We start from the raw sequence: 11,323 nt of genomic DNA, 5'->3' as shown, positions 1-11,323 counted from the left end.
GAAGCAGACAAACTAGGAAGAGGGGAATTTATTACTGTAACTGGATACAGTGAGGAGGCCAGAAGTAATTCCACCAGACCAACTCAAAGTGTTAAAATTTTCTTAGTCCTTATATAGATTGGGGCTATGTGCCTACAGCATAGCATTTGCCTAAGTCTATTGGTAACTAATTTTCTTCCAACTAGAAGATCAGAGGCAAAAAATGCTTGCTAAGTCTGATTAAAAGGGCCCCAGTACATTCAAGTCCTGCCTACAGTGGTACCGGAGTGATTATTTCTATCTTATCTCCTATACAGCTTGGTCTGGAGAGCTGCCTTAGACTCTCCAGTGAATCTATTCAAACAGCTGCCTCTGTTACCTTGACTTGTCTCAGATTTTGTTGACCCGACACAGGTCCTGGCACTAGGAATGTAAAACTGTTTATTATTTTGGCTTCCTCCAGCAAGGGAGAAGCCCATAGAAGCCTCCTACTGACTATATGTTTCACTTCTATATTTTTTTATTTTTATTTATTTTTATTTTTTTATTGTACTTTAAGTTCTAGGGTATATGTGCACAATGTGCAGGTTTCTTACTTATGTATACATGTGCCATGTTGTTGTGCTGCACCCATTAACTCATCATTTACATTGGGTATATCTCCTAATGCTTTCCCTCCCCCCACCTCACAACAGGCCCCGGTGTGTGATGTTCCCCTTCCTGTGTCCAAGCGTTCTCATTGTTCAATTCCCACCTATGAGTGAGAACCTGCAGTGTTTGTTTTTTTGTTCGTACGATAGTTTGCTGAGAATGATGGTTTCCAGCTGCGTCCATATCCCTACAAAGGACATGAACTCATCCTTTTTTATGGCTGCATAGTATTCCATGGTGTATATGTGCCACATTTTCTTAATCCAGTCTATCATTGATGGGCATTTGGGTTGGTTCCGAGCCTTTGCTATTGTGAATAGTGCCACAATAAACATACGTGTGCATGTGTCTTTATAGCAGCATGATTTATAATCCTTTGGGTATATACCCAGTAATGGGATGGCTGGGTCAAATGGTATTTCTAGTTCTACATCCTTGAGGAATCGCCACACTGTCTTCCACAATGGTTGAACTAGTTTACAGTCCCACCAACAGTGTAAAAGTCTTCCTATTTCTCCACATCCTCTCCAGCACCTTTGTTTCCTGACTTTTTAATGATCACCATTCTAACTGGTGTGAGATGGTATCTCATTGTGGTTTTGATTTGCATTTCTCTGATGGCCAGTGATGATGAGCATTTTTTCATGTATCTGTTGGCTGCATAAATGTCTTCTTTTGAGAAGTGTCTGTTCATATTCTTTGCCCACTTTTTGATGGGGTTGTTTGGTTTTTTCTTGTAAATTTGTTTGAGTTCATTGTAGATTCTGGATATTAGCCCTTTGTCAGATGAGTAGCTTACAAAAATTTTCTCCCATTCTGTAGGTTGCCTGTTCACTCTGATGGTAGTTTCTTTTGCTGTGCAGAAGCTCTTTAGTTTAATTAGATCCCATTTGTCAATTTTGGCTTTTGTTGCCATTGCTTTTGGTGTTTTAGACATGAAGTCCTTGCCCATGCCTATGTCCTGAATGGTATTGCCTAGGTTTTCTTCTAGGGTTTTTATGGTTTTAGGTCTAACATGTAAATCTTTAATCCATCTTGAATTAATTTTTGTATAAGGTGTAAGGAAGGGATCCAGTTTCAGCTTTCTACATCACGCTACCTGACTTCAAACTATACTACAAGGCTACAGTAACCAAAACAGCATGGTACTGGTATCAAAACAGAGATATAGACCAATGGAACAGAACAGAGCCCTCAGAAATAATACCACACATCTACAACCATCTGATATTTGATAAACCTGACAAAAACAAGAAATGGGGAAATAATTCCCTATTTAATAAATGATGTTGGGAAAACTGGCTACCGATATGTAAAGTATTCATTCTTTACATACGAACATCTTTGGAAGGATAATGTTAGTCTACCTAAGCATTCCTCTTCAGCTCTGGTAAAATAACTCTGTTTAACTTTAGTCTCTATGTGTTTATTTCTACAGTGTTTATCACTGGCAAACCTTCAAAATAATAACCATATTTAGATTAAATAGAAAGTTTATTTAAGATATGATAAAATTATTTAGAAATTACTCCAGGTGCTTGCTAGAGTGTAAATGTGTACATCTGAATAGGATGTTGGAAGGAGATAATCTCAAGCCATTGTCCTTGTCTACACCATCAATGACAAGGGATTTAGCAACATGTTCTGAATTGAGTTATTTTCTTCATCTTCAGTTATTTTGTACTTTTTCAGTTTCTCCAAAAATAGGAAGGTGGGATTTTAGAATGGGTCATCTGAACCCTGGGACACGCATACATTCAGAAAAGTGTTTTCACTTTCATAGAAGATTGTCATTAAAATGTTGTAGTCAAGAGCAAGTAGAGCATAGAGCATAAGATTCCCTTTATGGGGAGCTAGAGTTGTTCTAGTCTGTGAGGGACTTTTAGGTGCCTGAAAAGAGGGACTCAATTAGCTTGGAATGAAAATTTGTTAGCTCTTTAAGGATTAATTTTTTTCTCTGTAGCTATAGAGAGTATAATGCCACTGTTGACTAAAAACTTGTAGAATGTGAGAAACAGTGCTGTGAAATTATTTCCTAAAAGAATAACATCTCTAACTGTGATGTTCTATAAAGTAAGAGTGTAACTATAAATTGAAGTTACCAATCCAAATGATGGTAGGTAAGAGGGAGGATCTTCAAGTTGAGATAGTATTTGAATTAAAAATGAGTAGTTACAAGCAATTACAGTCATTTTATGATACGTATTTTATTTTCTATTTTTTGAGGGAAAAGTGTAGCCCATTATCAATCAAAAAAAACAGTTGTTTCAATTTTGGAAAGTGCTGACTGCTGATATATGAGCAGTTCAGAATTCTTGCTTGCTCTTGGCAAAGAACATTCTGTAACTTGAAATATTCTACTGTTTGCTAGGCCCTAGAAATGTCAACAGTAGTAAAGTGAGGATGAGATTTGGTGAGCTTAAGAGTGGTTTGGCTAGAAAACTGGAGAAAGTACTCAGGGACACCATCATAGCTGACAGAGTGGTGTATTTCCAGGGTACTAGAATGAGGTAGACATGGCTTGCCTTCTCTGGCAGTCTTCTAATGAAAGATTTGGGTTTTTTTCTTACTGAGATGGCTCAGATAACATCCTCTTTGGGTTAAAGATATAGTCCTTCTGTCCCTGAGGTTTGATGAATTTCCTTGCAGACCCTAGGTACACATTCTGTCATCTGGAGTAATTTTAAAACAGGATTGCCTTTAAATTACCTGTTCTTGGGCCTGCATTACTTACTATACCATAGTGTTACCCTCACATTCTTCCAGAGCCACATCCCCACTTTTCTGAATGCTGGAGGAAGTTCTGCACATCCAACAGGAAGAGTAAGGTCAATGGAACACTAAGCCCAGCCAGGCAGAAATAAAGAAGATAAAATAGTCATTCTGGAAAGAGGTAGGATTAAGTTCCCTTCAAAAACTTAAGGGAGAGTTCATCTTAGCACTGTCTTTTCTAGGTCATGGCAGAGGTCTGCCCTTAATCCACTGTCAAAAACAGTTTATCTTTCTCCTTTCCCAGACTATGTATCATCCATGTCCATTAGTGGAGAAAAGAGTTGGTCTATCAAATTCTGCTGAGCTTTTGTACTTTTGCCAAAACGTTTAATCATCTCTATGGACAGCTGAAAGCCAAATAGAACCAACTATACAATCACCTTATTTGTTTTGATTAATTAATTAAAATTGCTAAAATTTAACTTGTCAGTGTTTCCTCTGAAATTAGTGGGAAATATAAAGACAACTTCTTGCTGAAAAATAAGACATGATTCTAAAGGTAAATTAAATTTTTTTTAAAAAGTGGTTGTGTCTCACAAGCTCAGAGTTTCCGTTATAATGGTCCAGCTGCTTGGCAGTAAACCACGTTAGTGCAGCAGCCACACGGTTTTAGATTTCGCCATCAAAATGCACACAGCAAAACCAAGCAGAAAAGCCCAATTGGAGTAAATGCGCAATTCATCAAGATACAAAGTGCCAGAGGAGATCTAAAATATTTCTTTAGAAGTCTTTCTTCCTGCATTTGCTTATTTCTTTTAATAGAAGTAGAATAGAAACTGTGGTTAACCGGAAGTTCCTATTCAAATATGCTTTCTTGTGATATAGAAAACATTTTTATTTTTACTTTCAGACATATCCAGAACTGAAATGTGATGGTAAATAGGGTAATGATTTGGATAGAAAAATCTAAGATGTTTGACTTTAGTCATTGCAAAGGAAAATGGTTTTTATCTGGAGTCTTAGTTTGGTAGCATTGGAAAACCACAAAGATAAGAAGACTGAATTAAGACATTTTAACTAGGTATCCCAAGAACAATGGTCTTGATGAAACAATGAAAACTATGGCTTTTAGATTGGAAAATATTTTGCAAGTCAAACATTTGGTAACTTCATTTTAGGGATACATGTGAGGTTTAACATATAATAGTAATATAAAGTTAAATATATAAGTAAGGTGTAATCTGAAAATGTCCACTTTCAATCAGTCTGTGGGTATATATTTGGTAGCCTTCATGTGTCTAATTGGAAAGCACTAGCTCCCAGCACACTTGTCCCCCAGGAATGACTTACACCCTAAACAGGGTGCTGCTTCTCTCTCAGCATGGGCCATGCTGCCTTGTCCTCTGGTCATTCGCCCAGCTATGTAGTCATCCCCTGTGTTTGGTCACATCCCCATGGTGGATCCTCCTGGATATTGTCTTCAGAAACAGCCCAAAGTATAATCACCTTCAATTGCTAAAATGGCAAAACCTTAGGGTTAAGCACAAAACAGTGCTTTATCCCTTCAATCCTCACTGTACCTGAGCTACTCTGTGGTTTGTGTCAAGGTGATTGTCTTCCCACTCTCAGCATAACTTTGTACCTGGACATGAGCATTACCTCTTGTGCTCTGAGTCTCACCAAGTCTCTTTTGAAAATGGTTTTTTCACTTTCTGCTTGAAAACTACCTCCTCTTAAAGCCTCAAAACTTAGCTGGTTCAGGATCAGATGCCACCACAATTTCCTTTCACAGCTCTCCTCCGGTTTCCAGGTAGTAATTTAACTCCTGCAATTAGACTCCAATGCGTTGCCCCAGCAATAGCACCTCATCCTACACACCCTGAAAGGACTGCATTTCCTCTAGGGCCAGCCAGGACCAATCATGATGTGTTGAGAGAACTGTCTCTATCATAAGGCATGAGAAGCCTTAAGCTCTGCAGAATTTACACATCTAAAGTTGTTTCCAGATAGACCTCAAAGCTTTTCAGACCATCCCCTTCTCCCTTCACTCCAAACAACTCCTCCCAGGAACCTCAAACAGTAGGAGAGAAAAGTGAAGCGAGACAAATCAATCCATCATACATTTAAATGAGCATGACAAGGTAATCCTGAAACTTTTGTGTGACAAAGAAGCTCAACACTTGTGATACTGCCGGAGCACATGTAGTCAATATGGAAGTTGGGAAAACTCATTTTTGTTTCATCCAGGTACTCCTTCTGATTTAAAGTGATCGAAGTGGAAAAAGACACTAAAACTTTGTGTTCTCTAAAATTGATCCAGAGAAGCATAGGACTCAGAGGACAACTGAGATCCAGTTATCCTCCTTCTGTACACCTTAGAATTTAGGAAATTTCCCAAAATGACTTCATCCATCAAAAGCCTATATTGACTAATAACAAACTTATGGGTTGATGGGATTTCTTTTACTTGCTGATTATTGAATCTGTCAGGAAATGCTAGAAATATGTTGTATTCTTTTTCTTACCTAGAGAGAGAAGTTGTATATGTCATGTATATATCACATCAGTGATAATGCCATGTCACAACTAAAAGTTGAATGTATGAATAAAAAGACTTAGTACTTTGAGCATTATCTTGGAGAGAGTACCTACTGACTGAAAAAATTTTAAGGGACTGTAGGGAACTTTAAAGTAGAGGTCTTTTTTAAAGTAACAATTTGTATTACTACAGTTTATTTGCTTCCCCACCTCCACCCAAAAGAAAAAAATGGAATGAAGGTGTAAGGAGTCAAAAGTGAGTGGTTTGGAGGAAAGACTAAAATTTTATTTGGGAGAAATCAGTTCTTTGATCAACTGGAAACTTACCTGCTTAGGACGTGGAACTTCCTGGGGTTAAATTGCCTTTACAGAGGATAAAGGAATTTTCAGACTTTGAAACACTCTTTGCAGATGTGCAGATGTAATCAGGTTTATTGACTGATCTTTTATTAACAGTTTTAAGAAATACAATAGATCCATGACATGGTCGACTTTAAAATGCACCATTTGGACAACTCCTAAGCAACCCAAAGGGTTAAAATAGGTGGTTTGCTAAGGCACAAATTTGATACAAAACCACTGCAAGGATAAATGAAGAAAGGGGTTTCTTAGCTATATGGTTAGACTAGTAGGCATTCACACTGGGTAAAAGAAGGGCACAATTAAATTGTTAGAACCCAGGGGATCAAAGGAGAGACCCCCTCCTCCATTTCCAGAACTGATGCTTGAACCCCTCAGGTGAAGGCCCAGCCCTATAGTGCTTGGCTTTTTGAGGGAGAACATAGAGCAGGAGATGTGCAGTGTGGCTGATGCTGATACCTCTGGGGCCCACACTGTGGAGTGCTTGGACCAATTGATGCAGAACAGCTAGCTGCTATTCTGAACTTAGTGCAGCTGGGACTGAGAGTACTTAGAGAAACTGGAAACTGGAGCTGGAGCTGGAGTTGTCATTTGCAACTAGGCAGATGCTGAAAGAATCTAGAAACCTGCCAATCACCAGCCAATGGCTCCCATTGATGAAACCATACTGGAATCCAGCTGGCAAGGAAACCTAGGACATGAAGTTTCCAGAGCCTCAGACTCACCACCCCAGAATGGAATACAGAAGAGAGACCATTTGCCAGTAATCCCATACAGTAGCCCTACTCATCTTCAGAAATGTTGGCCAACTTGCCCAAAGTCACAGTTGGGAAGCAGAAGGGATGGGATTCTTGACTAGATATACAGGGATGGAAAAACCCATTCTCTTCCTGTTATATCAAGATGCTTTGAAATGAAAAAAAAAAAAAAGTTCCATTTTAAATTTATTCTTATTAAAAGAAACACCAATCAACCACATTAAAAATGCAACATATCTCTGTGATGGCCTAAATGACTATTACTAGTATATGTACTTTATTGCTGGGATTGAATGGGGAGGAAAATTTTAACATATACCATGTAACCTATACTACTGAAAGAACTATGGTTCACTTATTTCTTTTTCAAACTTGAAAAAGAAACCCATTTTATGAATGTAAGAGTAATCTATGCCTACTATGAAAGTTCAGAACAAAACCAAGAATTTAAAGAAGAAAATAAAAATCCACAAATAGTCAAGTCCTCTGTTAACTTTTGTTAGCTATAATTTCTGTTATAAAATGCTGCAAAATGAAAACAATCACTTTATTTATATTTTTGGAAGTTTAATCATTACTGACTGAGGAAATTTTTCTATGGTCATAATTTTAAAGCCAGAAAAACCCTCATTTTAGATGTGGAAACCAACACATAGAATGTGACAGTATTAGGATGAGAACACTGGTGTTTTGTCTCCATATCCACGGTCCTTACAGCATACTTCAGCTCACTTCACATTTACCTGTCATTGTTTCTTGCAGAAAGGAAGCTTTGTTTTCAAGAAAACGGAAATGGTATTTGTAAGTTGTATTTTTTAAAATAATACCTACTAAATTTTATTTTCCTATTTTCCCCAAGTGATTCAGTTTTTTAAAGACAGAAAACAGAGAGTTGGTTGGTTATTGTAGACTCTAAATCAAGTACACAGGACCCTTCAATTTCCCCAGCTTTAGACCAGATGAGGCTTTATGGTGCAGTACCACTTTTGAACCATTAGTAGGCACTCAAATATTTGCCAAGCTGGATAAGACTTGCCGTAAATAGCTAATAGACTGAAATTACCGTTTGCAAAATGTTTTTCTGTTTGAGGGTATTATTAAGTTAAATGCATTCCTTAAAATCCTGTCAACTAGTAATTAGTGTAACTAAAGTTGCAAATGTTCGTGAAATCAAAAATTGCTTTTAGTTTTACCATTGTTCTGGAAGAACAATTTTCAAACATCTGAATTCTTTTTTCATGGTTCATAGTCCTAGTTTATTATGTTGCTTTTTTCTCTTGTAGGTGGTAAATAGTGATTCAAAGAATAAGATAAAATATAAATGTGACTTTCCTTCTTTTAGATTCTTACTAGGAAAGAAGAAAAACTCTTCCAGATTTTTAAAAGGCTGAATCATTTGAAAACTTTGTAAATATTTAGGATTCACTAAAACTTAATTTGAGTTTATATACTTATCTTTGTAAGTTTTGAGATTGCACGTCCCTTTTTATTTTATTTTTGTAAGTTTATTTGCTTTTTAATTGACACAATTATTGTACATATTTTTGAGGTAAAATGTGTTGTTGCCATACATGTATACATTGTATAATGACCAAATAAGGTTATTTAGTATATCCATCACATCACTTATCATCTCTTTGTGGTAAGAACTTTCAGAATCCTCTCTTCTAGTTATTTGTTCTAGTTATAACAGTATTGTCAACCCTACTGTGCTATAGAACAGCAGAAATTATTTCTCCTATCTAACTGTAATTTTGTACCTATTGCATAATCCATCCCTATCCTCCTTCCCACTACAGTCCCCAGCCTCTGGTAATTACTTTTCCACTTCTGTAATATCATCTTTTTAAGATTCCACAAATGAATGACATCATGTGATATGGTTTGGCTCTGTGTTCCCATCCAAATCTCATCTTGAATTGTACTCTCATAATTCCCACATATTGTGGGAGGGACCCAGTGAGAGATAATTGAATCATGGGGGCAGTTTCCCCCATACTCTTCTCATGGTAATGAATAAGTCTCACTAGACCTGATGGTTTTATCAGTGGTCTCCACTTTTGTATCTTCCCCATTCTTTTTGCCTGCTGCCAACCACGTAAGATGTGACTTTCTCCTCCTTGCTTTCCGCCATGATTGTGAGGCTTCCCCAGCCATATGGAACTGTAAAGTCCATTATAAACCTCTTCTTTTGTAAATTGCCCAGTCTCAGGTATGTCTTTATCAGCAGTGTGAAAATGAACTAATACAGTAAATTGGTAACAGTAGAGTGGGTTGTTGCTGAAAAGATACCTGAAAATGTGGGAACGACTTTGGAACTGGGTAACAGGCAGAGGTTGGAACAGTTTAGAGGGCTCAGAAGAATACAGGAAAATGTGGGAAAGTGTGGAACTCCCTAGAGACTTGTTGAATGGCTTTGCCCAAAATGCTGATAATGATATGGACAATGAAATCCAGGCTGAGGTGGTCTCAGATGGAGATGGGGAACTTATTGGGAACTGGAGTAAAGGTGAATCTTGTTATGTTTTAGCAAAAAGACTGGTGGCATTTTGCCCCTAACCTAGAGATTTGTGGAACTTCGAACTTGAGAGAGACGATTTAGGGTATCTGGTGGAAGAAATTTCTAAGCAGCAAAACATTCAGGAGGTGACTCAAGTACTGCTAAAGGCATTCAGTTTTTAAATGAAAATAGTGCATAAAAGTTGGGAAAATTTGCAGCCTGACAATGCAATAGAAAAGAAAATCTCATTTTCTGAGAAGAAATTCAAGCTGGCTGCAGAAATTTGCATAAGTAATGAGAAGCTGAATATTAATCCCCAAGACAATAGGGAAAATGTCTCCAGGGCATGTCAGAGGTCTTCTTGGCAGCCCCTCCCATCTCAGGCCTGGAGGCCTAGGAGGAAAAAGTGGGTTCATGGGCTGGGCCCAGGGTCCCTGAGCTGTGTGCAGCCTAGGGACTTGGTGCTTTGTGTCCCAGCCGCTCTAGCCATGGCTGAAAGGAGCCAACATAGAGCTCAGGCCGTGGCTTCAGATGGTGCAAGCCCCAAGCCTTGGCAGCTTCCACATAGTGTTAAGCCTGTGGGTGCACAAAAGTCAAGACTTGAGGTTTGGGAACCTCCACCTAGATTTTAGAAGATGTATGGAAATGCCTGGATGCCCAGGCAGAAGTTTGCTGCAGCAGCAGGGATCTCATGGAGAACCTCTGCTAGGGCAGTGCAGAAGGGAAATGTGAGGTCAGAGCCCCTACACAGAGTCCCTACTGGGGCACCACATAGTGGAGCTGTGAGAAGAGGGCCACCATCCCCCAGACCCCGGAATGGTAGATCCACCAACAGCTCGCATTGTGCCCCTGGAAAAGCTGCAGACACTCAACACCAGGCCATGAAAGCAGCCAGGAGGGAGGCTGTACCCTGCAGAGCCACAGGGGCAGAGCTGCCCAAGACTGTGGGAACCTACCTCTTGCATCAGTATGACCTGGATGTGAGACACGGAGTCAAAGGAGATCATCTTGGAGCTTTAAGATTTGACCACCCCACTGGATTTCAGACTTGCATGGGCCCTGTGGCCCCTTTGTTTTGTCAAATTTCTCTCATTTGTAATGGTTGTATCTACCCAATGTCTGTATCCCCATTGTATCTAGGAAATAATTAGCTTGCTTTTGATTTTACAGGCTTATAGGCAGAAGGGACTTGCCTTGTCTTAGATGAGACTTTGGACTGTGGACTTTTGAGTTAATGTTGGAATGAGTTAAGACTTTTGGAGGAACGGTTGGGAAGGCATGATTGGTTGTAAAATGTGAAAACATGAGATTTGGCAGGGGCCAGGGGTGGAATGACATGGTTTGGCTGTGCCCCCACCCAAATCTCATCTTGAATTGTACTCCCATAATTCCCATGTGTTGTGGGAGGGACCTGATGGGAGATATCTGAATCATGGAGGTGGTTTCCCCCATACGTTCTAATAGCAGTGAATAAGTCTCACAAAATCCGATGGGTTTTTTAAGGGATTTCCACTTTTGTGTCTTCCTCATTCTCTCTTTTTTTATTTTATTATTATTATACTTTAAGTTTTAGGGTACATGTGCACAATGTGCAGGTTAGTTACATATGTATACATGTGCCATGCTGGTGTGCTGCACCCATTAACTCGTCATCTAGCATTAGGTATATCTCCTAATGATAGCCCTCCTCCCTTCCCCCACCCCACAACAGTCCCCAGAGTGTGATGTTCCCCTTCCTGTGTCCGTGTGTTCTCATTGTTCAATTCCCACCTATGAGTGAGAACATGCAGTGTTTGGTTTTTTGTCCTTGCGATAGTTTACTGAG

Source organism: Homo sapiens, chromosome 7 (assembly GCF_000001405.40).
Source record: "Homo sapiens chromosome 7, GRCh38.p14 Primary Assembly".
Taxonomy (NCBI): Eukaryota; Metazoa; Chordata; class Mammalia; order Primates; family Hominidae; genus Homo; species Homo sapiens.
Note: the sequence above shows the minus strand (reverse complement) of the source record.